This window comes from Homo sapiens, chromosome Y (genome assembly GCF_000001405.40).
Source record: "Homo sapiens chromosome Y, GRCh38.p14 Primary Assembly".
NCBI lineage: Eukaryota > Metazoa > Chordata > Mammalia > Primates > Hominidae > Homo > Homo sapiens.
Genome location: NC_000024.10, coordinates 827,204 through 854,109, shown reverse-complemented (window position 1 = coordinate 854,109; position 26,906 = coordinate 827,204). Strand labels below are relative to the sequence as shown.

The 26,906-nt window shown below is 42.6% G+C and overlaps 2 annotated features.

Annotated features, from left to right (window-relative positions):
* Positions 2,545-3,295: an enhancer, noted in NCBI's record as "CNE8 PCR-amplified transgene fragment". NCBI's record gives its function as "enhancer in day 2 and day 3 zebrafish embryo skin, fin, central nervous system, muscle and heart" and the evidence as "EXISTENCE:transgenic organism evidence [ECO:0001131][PMID:21731768]".
* Positions 2,794-3,100: a conserved region, noted in NCBI's record as "conserved region; CRCNE00011103 more deeply conserved sub-region". NCBI's record gives the evidence for it as "EXISTENCE:sequence alignment evidence [ECO:0000200][PMID:21731768]".

Sequence of the window (26,906 nt, the reverse complement as noted above, 5' to 3'; positions counted from 1 at the left end):
AGCGAAACTCTGTCTCAAAAAATAAACAAATAAACACAGTCCTCGGTTCCTCTTGTCATCTCCCTCTTCTATTTATGACTCTTACACGTTCAAAACAGCAATTCCAGAATCAAATCATCATACATCACTGCACTGGTATTGTCCTGTTTCGGTATTTGCAAGTATTTTGGGGCTGGGCGCAGTGGCTCACGCCTGTAATCCCAGCACTTTGGGAGGCCGAGGCGGGCGGATCACTTGAGGTCAGGAGTTCGAGACCAGCCTGACTAACATGGTGAAATCCCATCTCTACTAAAAGTACAAAAATTAGCGGGTCATGGTGGCGGGCACCTGTAACCCCAGCTACTTGGGAGGCTGAGGCAGGAGAATCGCTTGAACCCGGGAGGCAGACGTTGCCGTGAGCTGAGATCACGCCACTGCACTCCAGCTTGGGTGACAGAGCGAGGCTCCATCTCAAAAAAAGGAAAAAGAAATTTGTCTCTTTTCAGGACTAAGGAAAGCAATCATGTTATGCGCACAACAACCATCCTGCTTTGAGTTCAAACACCAAAGAAAACCTCGTGCTGGCTCATTTCCCTTAACGTTAAGTTGTTGCAAAGTGGTGAGACTTCTTCCTTTTTGATGGCTGAATAGTATTCCATGGTGTGTGTGTATCACATTTTCTTTATCCATCCCCCACTGATACTTAGGTTAATTCTACATGTTGGCTCTCGTGAATAGCCTTGCAATGAACATGGGGGTGCAGACCTCCCCCCTTTTTTTTTTGATATACTGGTTTTATTTTCTGCGGATGCATACCCAGAAGTGAAATAAGACAAATGCAGCCAGTTCTCACTCCCATGTGGAAGCTAAAAGAGTTGATCTCCTGGCCGGGCACGGTGGCTCACACCTGTCATCTCAGCACTTTGGGAGGCTGAGGCGGGCAGATCACCTGAGGTCAGGAGTTCAAGACCAGCCTGACCAATACGGAGAAACTCCGTCTCTACTAAAAATACAAAAAGTAGCCAGGTGTGGTGGCACATGCCTGTAATCCCAGCTACTGGGGAGGCTGAGGCAGGAGAATCGCTTGAACCCGGGAGGCGGAGGTTGCAGTGAGCCAAGATCATGCTATTGCACTCCAGCCTGGGTGACAAGAGCAAAACTCTGTCTCAAAAAATAAATTATATAAAAAAAGAGTTGATCTCCTAGGAATAGACAGCACAGTGGTGATTACCATAAGCTGGGGAAGGGAGAGAGAAAGAAGGGATGGAGAGAGGTTGGTCCATGTGTACAAAGTTACGACTAAATAGGACTAAATTCTGTTGTTTTAATTCTCTGCAGGGTGACAATACTTAACAAGAATATATTGTATATTACAAAATAGTCCAAAGAGAGGATTTTGTTGGTGGGAAGTGTGGGAAGGGGACGAGGGATAAAAGACAACAAATTTGATACAATGTATACTGCTCGGGTGTTGGGCGCACCACGTTCTCAGAAATCTCCATTGAATAACTTCCTCATGTCACCAAATACCACCTGTACTCCAATAACTTATGGAAAAGGGGAAGATACATATTGCAGGGCATGGTGGCTCATGCCTGTAATACCAGCACTTTGGGAGGCTGAGGCGGGTGGATCACCTGAAGTCAGGAGTTCAAGACCAGCGTGACCAGCATGATGAAACCCTGTGTCTACTGAAAATACAAAATTAGCCAGGCGTGGTGGCTCATGCCTGTAATCCCAGCTACTCGGAAGGCTGAGGCAGGAGAATTGCTTGAATCTGGGAGGTGGAGGTTGCAGTGAGCCGAGATCATGCCATTGCACTCCAGCCTGGGTGACAAGAGCGAAACTCCGTCTCAAAAAAAAAAAAAGATACATATTCCTCAGCCACCGGAAAATGAGATTTCTGAGCAGCTGGATCTCATAATTACTGTGAGTTGTCATTACATGATATACACATGCTTGGAAACATTATATTATATGTCATAAATGTGTACAATCATTATGGAGATTTTTTCTTGAGACAGGGTCTTGCTCTGTTGCCTAAGCTGGAGTGCAGTGGTGCAATCACGGCTCAGTGCAGCCTCTACCTCCTGGACTCAAACGATCCTTCCACCTCAGCCTCCCCAGTAGCTGGAAATACAGGTCTGCACCAGTAGGTCCAGCTAATTTTTGTATTTTTTTTTTTTTGGAGATGGGGTCTTGCTATGTTGCCCAGGCTGGCCTTGAACTTCTGGCCTTCTGATTCTCACACCTCAGCCTCCCAAAGCGCCGGGATTACGAGCGTGAGCCACTGCGCCTGATCCAAACGATAATTGTTAAACATAAAATAAAACTGTAGAAAAGAAGAAAATCTAATGGCGGTTTTTGTCTTTTCATTGGCTCTGTGTTACTTTGTAGCTGCAACTTTTCTTTCCTTCATTAAGTCAGTTCCAAATTTGCAAACTTGAGTGAAAGGTGAGTGAGTTTTCTGTGTATCTTCTTGGCATGGGGTGGTGAGTGTGGGTGCCCGTGTGTGTGTGTGTGTGTGTGTGTGTGTGTGTGTGTGTATTTGTATGTCCAGGGTTCCTCCATATCCCTGCAGAGACTTGGGGCTCCTTAATATCCATATAATTTCTATTTTGACCAGAAAGAGGAAGAGTCAACGTTTTGGAAACTCCAAACTCCACCAAGGGCTTGGCTGAAACAGGTGTGTGTCGTTTCTCCCACCAGCCACCTCGCCTGCGAATCTTGGAACTTATCTTAATGAGAGTTGCCTCTGCCCACAGCTCTGCTATGAATAATGTTTTTGTATGTAAAGGAGAAGCAAAAACATTTTTTTGACCTCTTGGAGCACGGAAATCAATAAGAAGTTGATAAAGCAAAGTCTGTGCCTGCCGAAAATAAAACAAGTGTGGTTTGTTTATTCACCAAAACCTTCGCGTTGTCAGGCCTGCCTCGAGATGATTTATAGACCAACACCCCACGAAAATCATTTAAAGCAGATTAGGTTCCTAGGACAATCCCCTCTAATATGACAAGCTGATAGGGGCTGACAGGTAACTAGGTTGCTCAGGATGGCAAGCCAGTTCCAGAAATTCTGATGAAATTAAAATATTAATGGTACCGCCGGGAGAGGAAGATTGAGTGCAAGGTGGGTGAATTCTGTATGAGGACCGAGGTGCAAACACAACGTCGCAGTCGCTGTGCTGGAAGCAGAAGCCTGGGGGTGCCAGGGGAAGTTACCTTTGCTAAACCCAAAAGCAGGGCCTGCATTGCAATGGACTGTGCGGTGCTGGGGGCAGGGTGGGGACAACGCACCTGCCAGGCTCAGAGGGGAACACGGAGCTTCCCTAATCACCTCCTCTCTCCTGCAGCTGCAAAGGTGATGGCCACAGACCCTCGTCTCTGCAGCTCTTAATTCGCCGGTAGCCTCTCCCGTGCCCCTCTGCAAATGCCCGTTTGCAGGGTACTTTAAACCAATATGCAAATGAGCCCCCAGCACAATCACTGTGTACAGACTCTCCAGGAAACTGTCTTGTGCCGGCTGGATGAAAGCTTATTGCTGTGTGCGTGTGTGTGTGTGTGTGTGTGTGTGTGTGTGTGGTTTTGTTTTTACCCTGCAGAGAAAAATGCAAAGAATCTTGCCCCGGCCACAGGAAAAGGAGATTCCTCAGCAGTGTACATTTGCTTCTTTCTTTCTTTCTTTCTTTCTTTCTTTCTTTCTTTCTTTCTTTCTTTCTTTCTTTCTTTCTTTCTTTCTTTCTTTCTTTCTTTCTTTCTTTCTTCCTTTCCTTCAGACACAGTCTGGGTCAGTCGCCCAGGCTGCAGTGCAGTGGTGCGATCTGGGCTCACTGCAACCTCCGCCTCCCAGGTTCAAGCGATTCTCCTGCCTCAGCCTCCCAAATAGCTGGGACTACAGGTCTGAGCCACCACACCCAGCTGATTTTTGTACTTTTAGCAGAGACGGGGTTTCACCATGTTGGCCAGGCTGGTCTCGAACTCCGGACCTCAAATGATCCACCTGCTTCAGCCTCCCCAAGCGCTGGGATCACAGGCATGAGCTGCCTCTGCACCTGGCCTTGCTCATTCATTTCTACACCATTCGTAACTGTGAAGCGATTCTCGTCTGGGCCCCTTAAACGCGTTCTGCCAGATTCTGAGGATGGAATTGGCAAACACTATGGACAAAGTTCTACCGATGACACCCCGTGTTCTACTAAACCGGAGTGACTTCAGGTACAAGCAACCTGGTATCAATTAAAAAACAAACAGGGCAGGTGCGGTGGCTCATGCCTGTCATCCCAGCACTTTGGGAGGCCGAGGCGGGCGGATCACCTGAGGTCCGGAGTTCGAGACCGGCCTGGCCAACATGGTGAAACCCCGTCTCTACTAAAAATACAAAATTATCCAGGCGTGGTGGTGTGTGCCTGTAATCATGGCTATTTGGGAGGCTGAGACAGGGGAATTGCTTGCACCTCGGAGGCGGAGGTTGCAGTGAGCCAAGATTGTGCCACTGCACTCCAGTCTGGGCAACAGAGCCAGAATCTGTCAAAAAAAAACCAGAGAAAGAAAGAAGAGAGAGAGAGAAAGAAAAAGAAAGAAAGAAAGAAAGAAAAGAGAAGAGAGAGGAAGGAAAGAAGGAAGGAAGGAAACAAAGAAAGAGGAAGGAAGGAGAAAGAAAGAGGAAGGAAGGAAGAAGGAAAGAAAGAAAAGAAAAGAAAAGAAAGAAAGAGGAAAGAAGGAAAGAAAAAAGAAAGAAAGAGGAAGGGAGGACAGAAGGAAGAAAGAAAGAAGGAAAGAAAGGAAGGAAGGAAGGAAAAAAGAAAGAAGGGAAGGAAGGAAAAGAAAGGAAAGAAAGAAAGAGAAAAGAAAGAAAGGAAAGAAGAAAGAAAGAAAGGAAAGAAAGAAGAAAGAAAGAAGAAAGAAAGAAAGAAAGAAAGAAAGAAAGAAAGAAAGAAAGAAAGAAAGAAAGAAAGAGAAAGAAAAAGAAAAAAAAAAAGTTAAGCCCTCAACAGCTTAGGAAAGCTTTGGTTGCTCAGACAGAGAAACGAATAAATGGTTCAGAGATGGGTAGTTGGGTGGGGTGGGAGGCGCTTATTCTCAGGAAGCAATTCCCCAAAAGCAAATGAGATCCTTAAAATACTGAAACTCTCTCCAAAAAAAAGAAAAAAGAGGAAGCAGACGGCGTTTTGGAGGCCAGGCTTCCAGAGGGGAGCTCTTGGTGGTGTTCAGAAGGAGCTTGTGTTTGCTTCCAGTGTAGACTTTTACAACCTTAAGGCTACAAATTATAGACGCAGGAAAGGGCACCAGCTCTGCTGCAAGAGTATTACACAGACAACTGGTTTTTGTTTTTGATTTTGAAACTGGGTTCATTTTTATCTTTGAGAATGTGAGCAAAGTGACCCCTATGTGCAGAATCACTGAGGTCCTGCATTGCAGGGTGACCCTTGGCTGGACAGACTCAGGGACAGGGAGGCAGCTGGAGCAGACAGGCCCTGTCAGTCACCCCAGCCACCACTACCCGGGGCTCTGGAGTCCTAGGCCAGGCCGAGGCTGCTGGCCACTTTCATCCCAGGAGAGGTGGACGTCAGGAGTGAGTTTTACGGTGGGAACAGCTTGATGTGACCGTCTCAGAGCTCGGCTGTTCCCAGGCTGACTCCATCTCAGGTTTCTTGCATTCATGACTGGGTGTCCTAAAAATTCAGAAAGTGTTTCTTGTAAGAGGAAGAGAGAGAAACCCCATGCAGGGAAACTCTAGAGGGTCCACTGGCTGTGTCCTTCCCTACACAGCGCTGCCCCAGCCACACATGTCGCCCGATGGGGCCAGAAAACCTGCTTACACCTCACTCTTTGCTCTAAAATAAAATCATGTTGGTCCAGGCTGTGGGAAGCCCAAGGTGTTTTGTTACAAAATAAACGGATTTTATTTTTTTTTGCTATTACTGTAAGATCTTGATCTAGAAAAGGAGACAAGAAGCATGTAAATATATATATTTTTATAAACATGGACATATATTTACATATTAATATGAACATGCATTTATCTATTAAACTCAAATATACATTTTATATACTAAATACAGATATACATTTTGTCTATTAAATATGAGTGTATATTTACATACTAAGTATGAATATACATTTCATATATTAATACAAATATATGTATTCATTAAATATAAAAATATACATTAAATATAAATATAATTTATACATTAAACATGTTTTTATACATTAAATATAAACATCTTTTATATATTAAACATAAACATATACATTAAATATAAACATATCTTATATATTAAATATAACTTATTTTTATATATTTTATATATTATACAATATATAAGGTATATATAATATATAATATATAAAGTATATATAAACTTATATGTTAAATATAAACGTCTTTTATACATTAAATATAATACATTTGGTACATTAAATAAAAACATCGTATACATTTAATATAAACATGTTGTATACATTAAACATAAACATTTTATACGTTAAATGTAAACATATCTTTCATATAAAATATAAACATACCTTATATATTATATATAAATATATTTTGGACATTAAATATAATAATATATTTGGTACATTAAATATAAACATTGTATACATTAAATATAAACATCTTTTATACATCAAACATAAACATTTTATCCATTAAATGTAAACATATCTTATATATTAAATATAAACATCTTTTATACATTAAATATAAGAATACGTTTGGTACATTTAATGTTTACAATACATTAAATATAAACATGTATTTTAGACATTAAATATAAGCATATATTCCGCACATTAAATGTAAACATATTTTATACATTAAATATAAATACTATATATGTTAAATATAAATATATATTTTCCATATTAAATATAAATATATATTCTCTACGTTAAATATAAACATATTTTCTATATTAAATATAAACATGTATTTTGCATAGCAAATATAACTATACATTTTCTATTTTAAATATCAACATGTATTTTGTATATTAAACATAAACATATATTTCCCATATTAAATATAAACATATATTTTTATATGTCAAATATAATATACATTTTCTATATTAAATATAAATATATATTCCCTGTATTAAATATACACATATATGTTAAATATAAATGTATATTTTCCATACGAAATGTAAACATGTTTTGTACATTAAATATAAATATGCCTCTTAGATATGGCCTGTGTTGGAATGTGTACTAGATTGAGCATATAATGTCTATTCAATATAAAATTTATATTTATATAATGCAATAATGATTCACGTTGATTGTAGTTAAGAAAAACAAGCCCCAAATTCGAGAGAAATATGTAAGAAGAGAGACAGGAAGAAAAAATAATAAGGCAGGTAAATGCAACAGACAATTCGAGACCCACAAGTGCAGAGCAGGCTTCCCCAGGCCCGGGGAATGTCTCCTGGGCTGATAGGAAGCCCTCAACCCCCAAGTCCTTCTCAGCCATAAACCGCCTGAGCACAGAGCCAGAGGGACCATGTTGGGGCTGGGCCTCCCGACTTCAGTTCCTCTCATTCTGTGCAAAAGGAAAAACAATTCAGAATCTACAGAGATTTACACGTGTGTAGATGTGGACAGAGAAGGCAGGGCACGGTGGTTCACTGGCCCAAGAAGACAGTGAGTCCCCGGAGGAACAGAAGAATATACGTCATGCTAATATGTGTCATCCCGGTGCTTTGGGAGGCCGAGGCGGGTGGATCACTTGGGGTCAAGAGTTCGAGACCAGCCTGGCCAACATGGTGAAACCCCGTCTCTACTAAAAACACAGAAATTAGTTGGCCGTGGGGGTGGACGCCTGTGATCCCAGATACTCGGGAGACAGAGGCAGGATGAACTGCTTGAATGTGGGAGGAGGAGGTTGCAGTGAGCTGAGATCATGCCGTTGCACTCCAGCCTGGGGGACGGAGCAAGATCCTGTCTCAAAAAAAAAAAAAAAGAAAAGAAAAAGGAAAAAAGAAGTTGTCGGTGCTAAGTTCTCTCTGGATTTTCAGGAGGCCAGTTCTCCAGTCCACGGTGGCCTGGGAGGACAGGGGTTCCTGAGGGTGAACAGAGCCTGTGCCCGGTCAGGTAGGATCTCATGTACCTGAGGTTCAGAACCCAGGAGCATGGGGAGGGTCTAGGGGGTTCCTGCTGCTCGGGGGGAAGACCCTCTTTGCACAGGGGCCCCGGAGAGCGAGAGGAAGGAGGAGGACAGGTCAGTGAATGTGACGGGGTCACAGTGGAGAGGGAAGCACAAAGAAGTGCTCCCACAACAAGACACACACAGTGTCCACGCTGAAGCTACAGAGAGGACCTCTCCACCTGTGTCTGCCCCAAAGCAGTGGGGCATCTTCTGGCAGCCCAGAGTCACCTCCAGATCCCACCTGCCCCACGCTTCCTGAGGGGACTGCCTGTCTTCCTAATACACTGTCTTCTGAACAGAGTCTTCCAGACAAATCACCAGTTGCTATTTATGTACACATATTTTTTAATAGCTAATATCTTACACTGATATATTTATATTATATATAGTTATAAATATTTTTGTACTTTATGTTTATGCTATATGTACAGATGTAATTAGCTGTTTATGTTATATATAATATATTAACATGATGTATATTCTTATATTCCTCTGGGGACTCACTGTCTTCTTAATACAGTGTCTTCTGACCAAAGTCTTTCAGACAAATCAGCTGTTGCTATATATATACTATATATATATAGCAAATATATATGCTATATATTTTATTATATATAATATATATTATATTATGTCTTATATATAATATATATTATATTATGTCTTATATATAATATATATTATATTATGTCTTATATATAATATATATTATATTATGTCTTATATATAATATATATTATATTATGTCTTATATATAATACAATATATTATTTTATATTATGCTATATATTATATATTATATATGCTATATATGTATATATTATATATACACATATACACATACATACACACATATGTATATTTTAATAGCTAATATCTTACACATATATTTATATTATAGTTATATACAAATATTTTTGTACTTTATGTTTATACTATACATACAGATATAATTAGCTGTTTATGTTATATATAATATATTAACATGATGTATATTCTTATATTCCTCTAGGGACTCACTGTCTTCTTAATACACTGTCTTCTGACCAAAGTCTTCCAGACAAATCAGCTGTTGCTATATATATATATATATATTTATTTATTTATTTATTTTTTAATAGCTAGTATCTTACACTGTTGATCATGTCTGTAATCCCAGCACTTTGGGGGGCCGAGGCGAGTGGATCACCTGAGGTCAGGAGTTTGAGACCATCCTGGCTAACACGGTGAAACCCCATCTCTACTAAAAATACAAAAATTGATTGGGTGTGGTGGCGAGTGCCTGTAATCCCAGCTACTCGGGAGGTTTAGGCAGGAGAATCGCTTGAACCCGGGAGGCAGAGGTTGCAGTGAGCCGAGATCGTGTCACTGCACTCCAGCCTGGGTGACAGAGCGAGACTCCGTCTCACAAAAAAAAAAAAATCTTACACTGATGTATTTATATTACACGTAGCTGTATATAAATATTTTTGTACTTATATTCTACATATTACAAAACATATAAAATTACACATGTATAATAAAATGTTACATAAAAATTTTAATATACCATTTTACTATATATATTTCTAAATTTAATATAATGAAATTTTATATATAATAATGTATAACATTTCTAAATTTATTGTAATACAATGTTATATGTAATTATTTTCTCATATTATGATTATACATAAGGTAATTTATTATAAATAAAATTTTATATAATCTACATTTATTATATAAGGTTTTATTATATATAACACATTTCTAAATTTAATACAATAAAATACTATGTATAATAATTTATAAAGTTTCAAAATTTATTATATAATTTTATATACAATTATTTTATACATAATTATATGTGGTATGTAATTGTATTTATAGAAATATAATTATGCATATACAATATATAATTTTATTTTTACATAGTATATATACATAATTATGTATTAACAAATATAATATCAATTTTATTATATACTTATTTACATTAAGTTATATGTTATATAAATATGTTATATGTTATGTATATGTTACACATATTTTTGCTTAATATATTAAATTTAATCTACAAAATTATGTATTACAAATAAAAGTGTATTTTACATATACACTATATATAACTTTATTATTTATATAAAAATATAAAAATCATATGTTTATATTAATAAAATATACTTATTTATAGCAATCTATTGATATAAAATATACCCAATGCATATTTATATAAATACAAAGTATATAAAACTTTTACCAGTAGGATGCAAAGAGTTGCTGACCGTCTGCAGAAATCGTGAACCTCTGGAAACAGAATAAAATCTTACCTCCCTGTCCGCTTTGAAAGGATCAGTAACGAAGTCCGGGACCCCAAACCCGCCCTAAGGGGAGATGCGGGAGTTGGGATGGACGCGTTGGCCAGTGAGGACTTCCCTTTGCTGGTTTTGAGGTGTCTGAGCCCAGAAGCTACGAGGGAAAGTGATTCTGCAGCAGGTAAGCTGATCACAAGCCTGAGCCAAGAATCCATGAAGATCATTTACAGCAGAAGCCGGGGCCCTGTGCAAATCCTTCTGAAATATCCCCGGTTGACTGAGCTCCTAGGGGTGGGGAAGAAAAATTCCCTGACATCTCGGCCTCAGGGAAAGAGACACCCCACTGGCAGGACGTCTCTGCTGTTTCTCAGAAGACAGCTGGGGTGTCACTCTCCCAAACGACGGTGATTTTCAGAACGGTTCACTTTTTAGAGAGACGTTTCTGCCCTGGAGATCCGTACATATTGAACCCAAACGAATAATTTTTAATTAAAAAAATTAAACATTAGAAAGTTCAACATTGAGGCGGCTACGAGTTTGAATTCCTCCTGTTTCCTAAAAGCATGTTGTCGAAATCTGTATTGCATTTAGTAATTACTTATGTGTCTAATGCATATAAGGTTACACAATGTTTTCTTCTTTTTCTCCCCCTCGGTGTCAGAATTTGAAATAAAAGTTTTGGAAAGAAAAAACAGTCTTGTCTGTTTGTGCAAAAATAAAAAAAATCCATATTTTAAGAATATTTTAAAATAAATACAAATTGTGTGTGTGGGGTTGCTTATAAGAATTCTTCATATCCTAAATCAAACATAGACCTTGTTATTAACCAGAAAACAAAATGGGTGTGTATAAAGGTACAACACTCTTACACTCACACAGACACACATGCTCACACACACATTCACGCACTCACTGATGGACTCACACAAACACAGGCATTCACGTATAAATACACACATAAGCGTGTATTTATAGAAATATAATTATGCATATACAATATATAATTTTATTTTTACATAGTGTATATACATAATTACGTATTAATATAAGATCAATTTTATTTTATTTACATAAAGTTATATATTATATAAATGATGTTATATGGCATGTATATATTACACGTAACTTTGCTTAGTATATAAAATTTAATCTATACAATTATGTATTACAAATAAAAGTATATTTTACATATACACCATATGTAACTTTATTATTTATGTAAACTATAAAAATCATATGTTTATATTAATAAAATACATTTATTTATATCAATATATTAATATAAAGTATACACAATGCATATTTATATAAACTTTTTTAATTAAAAAATATTCATTTGGGTTCAATATGTACGGATCTCCAGGGCAGAAACGTCTCTCCACAAAGTGAACCGTTCTGAAAATCACCGTCGTTTGGGAGAGTGACACCCCAGCTGTCTTCTGAGAAACAGCAGAGACGTCCTGCCAGTGGGGTGTCTCTTTCCCTGAGGCCGAGATGTCAGGGAATTTTTCTTCCCCACCCCTAGGAGCTCAGTCAATCGGGGATATTTCAGAAGGATTTGCACAGGGTCCCGGCTTCTGCTGTAAATGATCTCCATGGATTCTTGACTCAGGCTTGTGATCAGCTCACCTGCTCCAGAATCACGGACACAAATGCAACCACACGCTTACACAAACGCACATCAACGCAAAGACAGAATCACAAAACACACTCAGAGAAGCACATGGACACACAAAGACATGCACACTCACACAAACACAGGGACACACACACACAAACACAATTACAAAAACCCTCACATGCACACGTGGGTGCAGAGGCACATGGATGTTCTCACAAAGCACACAAACACGTATACGTACAAAGACGCATAAACAGAATCATGAAAACACTCTCATATAAACACGTGGATGGCCATTCACCCACATAGACACTCACATATGTCATACACACTCATACACACACTCAGAATCACACAAGCACACACAGACACATACATACAGTCACACTCGTGCAAACGCAGTCACAAAAAGACTCACGTAATCACGTGGACACACAAACGTAAAAATTCACACACTGGGGCCAGGCACGGTGGCTCAAGCCTGTCATCCCAGCACTTTGGGAGGCCGAGGCTGCTGGATCAGTTAGGGTCTGGAGTTCGAGACCAGCCTGGCCAACATGATGAAACCCCGTCTCTACTAAAAATACAAAAATTAGCCAGATATGGTGGCATATGCCTGTAATCCCAGCTACTCAGGAGGCTGAGGCAGGAGAATCATTTGAACCCGGGAGGCAGAGGTTGCAGTGAGCCGAGATCGCACCACTGCACTCCAGGCTGAGTAACAGAGCGAGACTCCATATCAAAAAAGAAAAATTAGCCAGATGTGGTGGCGGGTGCCCGTAATCCCAGGTACTCAGGAGGCTGAGGCAGGAGAATCGTTTGAACCCTGGAGGCGGAGGTTGCAGTGAGCCGAGATTGCACCATTGCACTCCAGTGTGGGTGACAAAGCGAGACGCCGTCTCAAAAAAAAAAAAAAAAAGAATTTATACATTGCCATACAGATTTACACACATACACTCATATTCACAAACACACAAACACAATAAACGCAGGGACACACACAAACACCATCACAAAAACACACTTCCGTAAAACACAGGAATGCACGCTCACACAGAAACACACATGTAAACACACATTGTCTTACAGACCCACAGACACACTCATCGTCACATAAACAGGCACACACACACAGCCACACAAGCACACACCCACACCCACGTCAACACACACACGGCCCCACGGTACCCATGCGCTCACGCACACAGGTAGAACAGGCCTGCGTTACCTGATAACACAGATAAATCAGACGTGATGCTGCCTGCCGAGGAGACCTGGAGGCTTCCCATGAATGGCCTTTTGGACGAGAGGTCTCTGGGTGCATTAGGTGACACCCCAGGCAGTGGGGGGGATGTCCAGGCTGGGGGGGCCAGCCACAGCCAGCCCTGCCCGAGGATGCCACGCCCCTTTGCTTCAGTAGGATCTGCACCCTGGAAACCCTGGTTCCTGCCTCTCCGGGACACCCCACTGAGGTCAGCACACCCTGCAGGTTTAGGAGGGGTGTCTGGGTGCATTTGGTGACACCGCAGGCAGAGGGGGGACGCCACAGCCAGCTCTGCCTGAGGATGCCACGTCCATTTGCTTCAGCAGGATCTGCACCCTGTAAACCCTGGTTCCTGCCTCTCCGGGACACCCCACTGAGGTCAGCACACCCTGCAGGTTTAGAAGGGGTGTCTGGGTGCATTTGGTGACACCGCAGGCAGAGGGGGGACGCCACAGCCAGCTCTGCCCAAGGATGCCACGTCCATTTGCTTCAGCAGGATCTGCATCCTGGAAACCCTGGTTCCTGCCTCTCCAGGACACCCCACTGAGGTCAGCACACCCTCCAGGTTTAGGAGGGGTCTCTGGGTGCATTTGGTGACACCGCAGGCAGAGGGGGGACGCCACAGCCAGCTCTGCCCGCGGATGCCACGTCCATTTGCTTCAGCAGGATCTGCATCCTGGAAACCCTGGTTCCTGCCTCTCCGGGACACCCCACTGAGGTCAGCACACCCTGCAGGTTTAGAAGGGGTGTCTGGGTGCATTTGGTGACACCGCAGGCAGAGGGGGGACGCCACAGCCAGCTCTGCCCGCGGATGCCACGTCCATTTGCTTCAGCAGGATCTGCATCCTGGAAACCCTGGTTCTTGCCTCTCCGGGACACCCCACTGAGGTCAGCACACCCTGCAGGTTTAGGAGGGGTGTCTGGGTGCATTTGGTGACACCGCAGGCAGAGGGGGGACGCCACAGCCAGCTCTGCCTGAGGATGCCACGTCCATTTGCTTCAGCAGGATCTGCACCCTGTAAACCCTGGTTCCTGCCTCTCCGGGACACCCCACTGAGGTCAGCACACCCTGCAGGTTTAGAAGGGGTGTCTGGGTGCATTTGGTGACACCGCAGGCAGAGGGGGGACGCCACAGCCAGCTCTGCCCAAGGATGCCACGTCCATTTGCTTCAGCAGGATCTGCATCCTGGAAACCCTGGTTCCTGCCTCTCCAGGACACCCCACTGAGGTCAGCACACCCTCCAGGTTTAGGAGGGGTCTCTGGGTGCATTTGGTGACACCGCAGGCAGAGGGGGGACGCCACAGCCAGCTCTGCCCGCGGATGCCACGTCCATTTGCTTCAGCAGGATCTGCATCCTGGAAACCCTGGTTCCTGCCTCTCCGGGACACCCCACTGAGGTCAGCACACCCTGCAGGTTTAGAAGGGGTGTCTGGGTGCATTTGGTGACACCGCAGGCAGAGGGGGGACGCCACAGCCAGCTCTGCCCGCGGATGCCACGTCCATTTGCTTCAGTAGGATCTGCATCCTGGAAACCCTGGTTCCTGCCTCTCCAGGACACCCCACTGAGGTCAGCACACCCTCCAGGTTTAGGAGGGGTCTCTGGGTGCATTTGATGACACCGCAGGCAGAGGGGGGACGCCACAGCCAGCTCTGCCCGCGGATGCCACGTCCATTTGCTTCAGCAGGATCTGCACCCTGGAAACCCTGGTTCCTGCCTCTCCAGGACACCCCACTGAAGTCAGCACCCCCCCACCCCCACCCCCCCAGGTTTGTCCAGCTTCGCTGTCTGGGGAGAGACACAGAAAGACCACATTCGGTGGAATTCTGGCTGTAATCTGGCGGAGCCGGCAAGAAGAATCACCCAGCTGTCCTGTTACCTTGCTGGAGCGCTCACTGGTTTCATGTTTGGCCCCCGTGCTGTGAGTCCTCTGGGCCAGGCTCGATTCCTGGAGCTCCGGTGAAATTTGGGCTTGGAGCTCATGCCTGCACCATCCAGAAAGCAGAAGGCAGCCGGCCCGGGGCTGTACGGTTCGTAGAATCAAAGAGAACACTGCTTGCCTTCAGGTCTGTACCACAATAAATCTGCCAGCTGCGGTCAAAGCCTTTGGATTCCTGCCCCCTCATTTTATTTTGTCTATTACGGAGCGGAAGGAGCGAGAAAGATTTTGCTTCCTATTTTGTTTTGCAAAGCGCTTCTAAGAAAAACAACCCGCGTTCTGAAAATGAGATTCTGAGTTTCCCCTAGGGGTGTTGAAAACAAACTTTGGGAATCCAAGGGACTGAGAGGCAGAGGGGGTTTCCCTGTGAATTACAAAGTCACTTTTTATTTATTATTATTATAGATTCAGGAGATCCACATGCAGCTTTGTGACCTGGGGATATTGTACGATGCTGAGGTTTGGGGTATGAATGATCCCATCACCCAGGCACTGAGCATTGTACATCCATGAGGTATATAATATGTATTAAATATAAAATGTATATTTATACATGCAATAATGATTCAACTTGGTTCCTTGTAATTAAGAAAAACAAACCCCAAATTCTAGAGGAGTTCTAGAAATACATAAGAAGAGAGGCCGGGTGCGGTGGCTCAGGCCTGTAATCCCAGCACTTTGGGAGGCCCAGGCAGGGTGATCGCCTGAGGTCAGGAGTTCAAGACCAGCCTGACCAACCTTGTGAAACCCCGTCTCTGCTAAAAATACAAAAATTAACCAGGTGTGGTGGCGGGTGCCTGTAGTCCCAGCTACTCAGGAGGCTGAGGCAGGAGAATCGCTTGAATCCAGGAGGCGGAAGTCGCAGGGAGCCGAGATTGCACCACTGCACTCCAGCCTGGGCGACAGAGCTAGACTCCTTCTCAAAAAAAAAAAAAAAAAAAAAAAAAAAAAAAAAAAAGAAAGAGAGAGAGAGACAGAAAAAAACAAACAAACAGGCAAGAAAATGCAACAGAAAAATCCGTGACCCAAAGATCTCTCCAGTCGCTGCCTTCTGCCTGACATTCCAAGAACCTCAGGGTAGTTTTTCAACGCTGGTACCCCTGCCCCTGCTTCCTGCTCTATTAGTCCTGAGGGTCTGTGGTGTCCCTTCATTGTGTCCAGGCGCAGGCAACGTTTAGCTCCCACCTATAAGCAAGAACATGTGGTATTTGATTTTCTGTTACTGGCATTAATTCACTAAGCATAGTGCCCTTCAGCTTCATCCATGTGAATACAAAGGGCATGATTTTATTGTTTTTCATTGCTGTGTAGTATTCCATGATGCAGAAGGACCCCATTTGCTTTATCTAATTGAGAACATGTGGTATTTGATTTTCTGTTTCTGGCATTAATTCACTAAGCATAATGCCCTTCAGCTGCATCCATGAGGCTGCAAAGACATGATTTTATTCTTTTTCATGGCTGTGTAGTATTCCATGATGCATGATGCAGAAGGACCACATTTGCTTTATCTAGTTGAGAACATGTAGTATTCATTTTCTGTTTCTGGCATTAATTCACTAAGCATAATGCCCTTCAGCTGCATCCATGTGCCTGCAAAGACATGATTTTATTCTTTTTCATGACTCTGTAGTATTCCATGCTGTAGAAGGGCCACATTTGCTTTATCTAGTTGAGAACATGTAGTATTCGATTTTCTGTTCCTGGCATTAATTCACTAAGCATAATGCCCTTCAGCTGCATCCATGTGGCTGCAAAGACATGATTTTATTCTTTTTCATGGCTGTGTAGTATTCCATGATGCAGAAGGGCCACAATTGCTTTATCCAGTTGAGAACGTGTGGTATTTGAGTTTTCTGTTCTTGGGTTAATTCATTAAGCATAATGCCCTTCAGCTACAACCACGTGGCTGCAAAGGACATGATTTTATTCTTTTTCGTGGCTGTGTAGTATTCCATGGTGTAGAAGAACCACATTTGCTTTATCTGATCCCCTACTGATGGACAACTAGGTCGATTCCATGACTTTCCTATTGTGAGTCGTGCTGTGATGAACCTTACAGGGCTGGGCACTGTAATCCCAGCACTCTGGAGGGCTGAGGTGGGCAGATCACCTGAGGTCAGGAGTTCGAGACCAGCCTGATCAACATGGTGAAACCCTATCTCTACTAAAAATACAAAACTGAGCCAGGCGTGGTGGCACATGCCTGTAATCCCAGCTGCTCAGGAGGCTGAGACAGGAGAATCGCCTGAACCTGGGAGGCAGAGGTTGCAGTGAGCCGAGATTGCTACTGCACTCCAGCCTGGGCAACAGAGCGAGACTCCATCTCAAAAAAAAAAAAAAGGAACTTTACCATGCATTTGTCTTTTTGGTAGAATGACTTCTTTTCCTTTGGGTAGATGACCAGTCTTGGAATTGCTGGGGCAAATGTTGGAGCAGTTTAGATTCGGGAGGTACATGTACAGGTTTATTACATGGGTACCATGTGTGATGTAGAGGTCTGGGGTATGAGTGATCCCATCACCCAGGTAGTGAGCATAACACCCTGCAGTTGGTTTTTTCAACTCTTGTGCTTCTACCTTCCTCTCTCCCCCTAACTAGACCTCAGTATCTGTTCCCTTCTCTGCATCTACGTATACACAACATTTAGCTCCCACTTATAAGTGAGAATGTGCAGCATTCTGTGAATTTACTTAAGATAATGGCCTCCACACTGTTCACAATAGCAAAGACACGGAACCAACCCAAATGCTCATCAGTGATAGACTGGATAAAGAAAATGTAGCACATAGACACCTTGGAATACTATGCAGCCATGAAAAAGGATGAGTTCATGTCCTTTGCAGGGGGACATGGATGAAGCTGGAAACCATCATTCTCAGCAAATTCACACAGGAACAGAAAACCAAACACCACATGTTCTCACTCATAAGTGAGAGTTGAACAATGAGAACACATGGACCCGGAGAGGGGAACATCATACACTGGGGCCTGTTGCAGGGGTGGGGGACTGGGGGGGGAGGGAGAGCATTATGAGAAACACCTAATGTAGATGATGGGTTGATGGGTGCAGCAAATCACTATGGCACATGTATACCTATGTAACAACCCTGCACATTCTGCACATATACCCCAGAACTTAAAGTAGAATAGAAAAAATAAAAAATAATAAAAATAATTTTAAAAAGATAATGGCCTCCAGCTACATCCATGTTGCTGCAAAAAAAACCCATGATTTTGTTTCTTTTCAGGGTTGCGTAGTATTCCATGGTGTAGATGTACCACATTTTCTTTGAGTGTGGACGGTGGGAGGAGGGAGAAAATCAGCAAAAATAAACTGTGTCTGGGTGTGGTGGCTCACACCTGTATTCTCAGCAATTTTGGAGGCCAAGGTGAGCAGATCACCTGAGGTCAGGAGTTTGAGATCAGTCTGGCCAACATGGCAAGACCCTATGTCTACTAAAAGTACAAAAATTAGCTGGGCATGGTGGCGTGTGCCTCTAATCCCGGCTCCTCTGCAGGTTGAGGCAGGAGAATCTCTTGAACCCAGGAGGCGGACGTTGCAGTGAGCCGAGATCGCGCCACTGCCCTCCAGCCTGGGCCACAGAGTGGGACTCCATCTCAAAAAATAATAATAAAAAAATAATAATAACCTGCTAGGCTTAGGATCTAGGTTGATTCCATGACAAAAGAAAGAAAGAAAGAAAAAAAAAAACCTAACTTTTTAAATGAAGGATCTCTCTGTTCAAAAACAAAACCAATGTCCTGTCAGGAAAGATGTTGTGTGTTTTTCTGGCAAAGCTGGAAGGAACCTACAGGAAGGAGTCACCCCATAAAATGAGTGGAACAACATTGCCTTTTGGGGTGAGGGCTGCCTCTGTTAGTCCACCAGGATGGGTGCCTTCCTGGGGAGTGGGGTTCATCCTACAGCATCCAGGAAGCAATTCCTGCCCCCAAAATCACCTGCCAGCTTCTGCCCTGTAAGTAAAATCTCCAGCAAGCGGGGAGGAGGGAGCTGCTTGCCTTGGAAGGCAGCTGAAGTCTCTGCCCACCACCCAGGCTCTGTCCTCTGGGCAAGGCCAGGGCTTCCAGTTGGATGGTTTTCACATTAGCGGGTGCTGTTTAGAATCATCAACATTGGCCAGGCGTGGTGGCTCATGCCTGTCATCGCAGCACTTTGGGAAGCCGAGGTGGGCGGATCACAAGGTCAGGGACCAGCCTGGCCAACATGGTGAAACCCCGTCTCTACTAAAAAAACAAAACAAAACAAAAATTAGCCTGGTGTGGCTGGGCGCGGTGGCTCACGCCTGTAATCCCAGCACTTTGGGAGGCCAAGGCAAGCGGATCACGAGGTCAGGAGATTGAGACCATCCTGGCTAACATGGTGAAACCACATCTCTACTAAAAATACAAAAAATTAGCCGGGCGTGGTGGCGGGCACCTGTAGTCCCAGCTACTCGGGAGGCTGAGGCAGGAGAATGGCGTGAACCCGGGAGGCGGAGCTTGCACTGAGCCGAGATTGTGCCATTGCACTCCAGCCTAGACAAAGAGCAAGACTCTGTCACCAAAAAAAAAAAAGAATCATCAGCATTGCCATGGCCCAACATCTTCCAAGACTTGTCAAAACTTTACCACTGGACCTCCACATTCTAGTTTCAAAGCTTTGCCAGCCCCGGTGGCTCATGTCTGTAATCCCAGCACTTTGGGAGGCTGAGGCAGGAGGACTGCTTGAACCCGGGAGTATAAGCCCATCCTAGGCAACATAGTGAGACCCCCATCTCTGCAAAACAATGAGAAAATTAGCCCAGTGAAGTCACTCACACCTGTAATCCCAGCATTTTGGGAGGGTGAGGAAGGAGGATGCTTGAACCCAGGAGTTTCACTCCAGACGGGACAACATAGTGAAACCCCACCTCTACGAAACAATTAGAAAATTAGCCAGGCACGGTGGTTCACACCTGTAATCCCAGCACTTTCGGAGGCCGAGGTGGAAGGATCCCTTGAGCATAGGAAGTGGAGGCTGCAGTAAAGTATAATTGTGCCACTGCACTCCAGCCCGGGAGACAGAGAAAAACCCGTCTCAAACACAAAACAAAGAAACACTAAACACCAAAGCTTCCTCCCATCCAGGGTTGAGAACCTCGTTCTGAATGACATTTCCTCCAGGAGCCGCAGTAACAGTGAAACAGCAAAATAAGGAACATATCTAACTCTACTTTTTGTTTAAGGGGACCTTACCCATTCTTGCACATAGGATAGGATAGTTTCAGAGCACAGAGATAAAACAAAAACAGCAATCATGTAGTTTTTTTCTTTGTTTGTTTGTTTGTTTGTTTGAGATGGAGTCTTGCTCTGTTGCCCAGGCTGGAGTGCAGCGGTGCAATCTCGGCTCACTACAACCTCCGCCTCCCGGGTTCAAACAATTCTCCTGCCTCAGCCTCCCGAGTAACTTGGATTACAAGTGCCCGCCACCATGCCCGGCTAATTTTTGTATTTTTAGTAGAGACAGGTTTTCACCATGTTGGCCACGCTGGTGTCGAACTCCTGACCTCAGGTGATCCACCTGCCTCGGACTCCCAAAGTGCTGGGATGACAGACATGAGCTACCATGCCTGTTAGGCACGAAACTGTTAGGAGTTCCTAATTTGCTGACTGTCAGAGGTAGCTTGCTGATACAACTGGATCCCAGCAGTGATCCACCTGCCTCGGCCTCCCAAAGTGCTGGGATGACAGGTGTGAGCCACCACCCCCAGCCGCAATCATGTAGTTTTTAAAACTAACTCTGCGATTAAAGGGAAAACATGTAAAACAACTATGTTTTGTTAAAGATTTTTGGGAGCATGGTGACTTGACCAAGGACAAAAAAGTCTTCAACTTCTTTGGACCCTGACTAGCATTCAGAGGTCCGTGGCCATCGGTCATCTCTCTATCCCAACCCCCTCCTCTTTCCCATGCCCTTCATATAAAAAGAGCCTGAAAGATGTACTTATTTAAGGGGGTACACTCGGACTTTTGTTCAACAGATTCTTGGTTTGCCAGCTCTCCAAATAAACCTGGTTTTCCTCCCACCAACTCTCCAGATTGGTTTTCAAGCCACGAGCCACGGAGCCTGGGTTTGGTTATACCATGTTCATGGATATGTGCATAACAACAGCAGCCTTGCCTTCTTTGGTCTTGCCCTTAGCATCATGTTCTGTTATTGCCATGCTGAAAACCTGAATGATTTCTTAGCAAGGGACTACCTCATTTTCATTTTTCTTTTTTTGTTTTTTCTGTTTTTGTTTTTGAGGTGCAGTCTCGCTCTGACACCAGGCTGGAGTGCAGTGGCGTGATCTCGGCTCACAGCCACCTCTGCCTCCCAGGTTCAAGCAATTCTCCTGCCACCTCCACCTCCCAGGTTCAAGCAATTCTCCTGCCTCAGCCTCCCGAGTAGCTGAGACTACAGGCGCCTGCCACCATGCCCAGCTAATTTTTATATTTTTAGTAGAGACAGGGTTTCACCATGTTGGCCAGGCTGGTCTCGATCTCTTGACCTCGTGATCCATCCATCTTGGCCTCCCAAAGTGCTGGGATTACAGGCGTGAGCCACTGCTCCCGGCCTCGTTTTCATTTATCATGGGGTTCTATGGAGTAAACATTGCTTTACCTACTTGCAGGGAAGTAGCTCCAAAGCAGGTGCCTCTCTTCTCTGTTAAGTGGCAGTAGTTGTACCTCCCTCAGACTGACCCAAGCCCCCATCTGGGCCACTGAGCTTGAGATCCAAGCCGCTGGGGAGGTCTTGCTTAGTTCAGGGCGTCTGATCACCCTGTGGTTCCCTTGGAATTCCAGTGCATGGACATTAGGAGGAGACGCTGTTTCAGTTTCTTTTTTCTTTTCTTTTCTTTCTTTTTTTTTTTTTTGAGATAGAATTTCACTCTTGTTGCACAGGCTGGAGTGCAATGGCATGGTATCGGCTCACTGCAACCTCCACCTCCTGGGTTCAAGAGATTCTCCTGCCTCAGCCTCCCGAGTAGCTGGGACTACTGGTTCCTGCTACCAGGCCCAGCTAATTTTTTGTATTAGACGGGGTTTCACCATGTTGGCCAGGCTGGTCTCGAACTCCTGACCTCAGGTGATCCACCCACCTCAGCCTCCCAAAGTGCTGGGATGACAGACATGAGCCACCATGCCTGTTAGGCATGAAACTGTTAGGAGTTTCTAATTTGCTGACTGTCAGAGGTAGCTTGCTGATACATCTGGATCCCAGCAGCGGGTGGAGACAAACATCCCCAGAAGCTGGAGAAAAGTTGGACAGGTGGGCTTGTAAGCAAACAGAGCTGTGCTATTTATTTTTTAAACCAATGAGTGTTTTTCACTCGTTCACTTAAGGCAGCAGGCAGGGAGGAGTGTTTTCCACCACACGAGAGGAAATTTGAGCCCTTTGCTACAATCTGCTCTTTCTCATGGAAATAATTGTTGAGTGAACATGGCTTCCAGCTCCCCGTGGTGTATTAAGGAAACAGTATGGAAATAAAGATATTACCATGTTATTAATGCTTATTGTGGAAATAGAAATACAGAAAATATACGGCTGAGTGTAGTATTTAAATTGCAAAAACGTGGAGATGTTTAATAAGGTAGAGGCAATTCTGGGTTGTTGGATTTTTTTTCCCCTCCCCTTCATAATTTTCAATATAATCTAAATTAAGCTATAAAAAATCATTACCTATAGCAATTTTTAAAATCATCTTTCATCTCGGGGAAACTAACTTAGGGCGCAAGGAAAATATTACAAGTAAATACCGTATTGAGAACATTGATTATTTTCCTTAATCCAATTCAAGCATATTGAGACGTAAAGCAAAATTGTGGGAAATTACAGACATGCCTGGAGGGCCGGGGGAGCCCCTTGAAGCATCTTAAAGGGGGAAATGTGTTATTTTTTAAGGGACACCTTCTCATTCCTGATTAGCTGTGCCAAGTTCTCCTCGAAGGAATGCATTTGTGCCCTACGGTTTTAACCCAGCTGCTTGCAAAGGTTTGGGGAAATGTGGAATGTTTCAGGAAGACGTATGGTAGCATTTTGGAGGCAAACGCTGTTTTTAAGTCACCCTGGGTGTAGGACAAGTAGAATAACAAAGTGACTCCACATTCCTCTGGCCACTCGCAGAGCTCTGCCTTGAGGTTGGAGGAAGGGGTGTACCCTCTTCCGCAGAGACACAGATAAAGAGGCAGATTAACTCTCAAACCCAAGTCTTGATATACTCACTCCTTAGACTGCCCTTTTTTTTTTTTTTTAGACAGAGTCTTGTTCTGTCACTCAGGCTGGAGTGCAGTGGCATGATCTTGGCTCACTGCAACCTCTGCCTCCCCGGTTCAAGCAATTCTCCTGCCTCAGCCTCCCGAGTAGCTGGGATTACAGGCACCCGCCACTGCCTGTAATTTTTGTATTTTTAATAGACACAGGGTTTCACCATGTTAGCCAGGCTGGTCTCGAACTCCTGACCTCACGGTCCACCTGCCTCGTGCTGGGATTACAGGCATGAGCTGGATTGCTTTCTTAATGAGAAAGTAATTATGAGCCAGCCCACAGGACATAGGGCCCTGAGCAGGTGCCAAGGTAAAACCATGCAGGTCCCAGGCTCTGTGTTCCCACCCCCGGGTACCTTTTTTCCCCCTTACTCTGGAAACAGGATTAAGAAAGAAAACTTCTGCGGAGATGTTGTTGCCCTGGTAGAAACTGCTTCATATCTGTTTCTGCCCCTCCTGAGGCCCCAGGAGCAAAAGTCAGATGAAAAACTGTAGATTTCTGTCTGCTCCATCCAACCAAAGCATTCAGCCAGCCATGGTGAACCAGCTTCGTTCCAAGCTTTTGTCTGAAGTTGCACGGATTGGACCTTCCAACCCACCGTGGGCGCTGACCTTTCTTCCAGGTTTCCTGATATCCACCATGAGCCTGGCCTTGAATTACCAACTTCATGGGGCACCTCCATGGAGAAAGCATTCCTGGAGGCTGGATGGAAGACCTCCAAGCCTGGAAGACCCCCAAGTCTTGCTGTGTTACCTCTGGATTAAACTCGAGTGCTTTGGACTGGGTGCGGTGGCTCACACCTGTCATCCCAGCACTTTGAGAGGCCGAGGCGGGTGGATCTTTTGAGGTCAGGAGTTCGAGATCAGCCTGACCAACATGGTGAAACCCCATCTCTACTAAAAAAAATATAAAAGTTGGCCGGGCGCAGTGGCTGACACATGTGTTCAGATGACAGGCGTGAGCCACCACATCCGGCTAATTTTTGTATTTTTAGTAGAGACAGGGTTTCACCATGTTGGCCAGGCTGGTCTCGAATGAATGAATGAGTGAGCTTCTGAATAAATGAATGAATGAGTGAGTGAGCTTGTGAGTGAATGAATGAATGGAGTGAGCTTGTGAATGAACGAATGAGTGAGCTTGTGAATGAATGAGTGAGCTTGTGAATGAATGAGTGAGCTTTGAGTGAATGAATGAATGAATGAGTGAGCTTGTGAATGAATGAATGAGCTTGTGAGTGAATGAATGAGTGAGCTTATGAATGAATGAATGAGCTTGTGAGTGAATGAATGAATGAATGAATGGAGTGAGCTTGTGAATGAGTGAATGAATGAATGAATGGGTCGGGCATGGTGGGTCACACCTGTAATCCCAGCACTTTGGGAAGCTGAGGCAGGTCAATCACTTGAGGTCAGGAGTTCAAGACCAGCCTGGCCAACATGGTGAAACCCCATCTCTACTAAAAATACAAAAATTAGCCGGGTGTGGTGGCTTACACTTGTAATCCCAGCTACTCGGGAGGCTGAGGCAGGAGAATCGCTTGAACCCAGGAGGTTGCAGTGAGCCAATATAACCCCCGCTGCACTCCAGCCTGGGCCACAAGAGTCAGACTCTGTCTCAAAAAAACAAAAAAAAATGAATAGACTCTTGGGAGTGGTTTAAATCTGTAAAACTCATGTTGAATCATAGTAAAAACATTTCAGAGAGATACTCGTGTTGGACCTGCGTAAAGAAAAGACAAATCCAGATGGCGAATTTTTCAGCTGTGAGATGGGCCTGCCATTTCTAACCTCACCTTTCCAAAATATAAAATTACTTGGAAAAGCATAAGGCATCTAGAAACCAGCGAGAAAGATTTCCATATAGTAGAATTGGGGGGAAAAAACAGAAAAGAGACACATGGAGAGACAGATAAAAACTTCATCCCACAAGGAAAGAATTGGGGTAAATGTGGATGCAAGCAGGAAATCCTATACCTTGCCAGAAATGACTGCCTGTTTTTCTCATTCTTACATGATCTAATCAAACTTGAACACCAGTAACCCTGCATAATTTTTTAAGTATGAAACGGATTCCGGTGATATCATCAGCAAAACTGAAACCAAATACAAACGTCCCAACGGCTCAATTTGTTACTCAGTGTCAGAGTTCTAAGTTCCAAAGAGACACCAGGTCCGTTTATTATGATGATTTTAAAAATTCTCCTAGTTTCCTTAGAATGGCTTATAATTCTACAGAAGCAGCAGCTTGACAGGAAAAAAAATAACTACCATTTTGCCTCTTTGAGATATATATACATATATATATATATATATATATATAGAGAGAGAGAGAGAGAGAGAGAGGGAAAGATATTATATATCTATATAGATATATATTACACATAGATATATAGATAGAGAGAGATATATAGATAATATCTATATATCTCTATATAGATATATATCTATATATCTATATATGTCTATCTATATATCTCTATATATCTATATCTCTCTATATATCTATATATCTATATATATCTATATATCAATATATCTATATATATCTATATATCAATATATCTATATATCTATATATCATCTATATATCTCTATCTATATATAGATATATCTATATAAATATATATATCTATATGTCGATATATATCGATATGTCGATATATATCAATATGTCGATATATATCGATATGTCGATAAAGATATTATATATCTATATAGATATATAATATATAGACATATAGATATATATTACAGATATATAGATATATATTACAGATATATAGATATATAGATATATATTACAGATATATAGATATATAGATATATATTACAGATATATAGATATATAGATATATATTACAGATATATAGATATATATTACAGATATTTAGATATATAGATATATATTATAGATATATAGATATATAGATATATATTACAGATATATAGATATATATTATAGATATATAGATATATATTATAGATATACAGATATATATATATTATAGATATATAGATATATAGATATATATTATAGATATATAGATATATAGATATATATTATAGATATATAGATATATAGATATATATTATAGATATATAGATATATAGATATATATTATAGATATATAGATATATAGATATATATTATAGATATATAGATATATATTATAGATATATAGATATATGTTATAGATATATAGATATATAGATATATATTATAGATATATAAATATATATCATAGATATATAGATATTTATCATAGATATATAGATATATATCATAGATATATAGATATATATCATAGATATATAGATATATAGATATATATCATAGATATATAGATATAGATATATAATAGATGT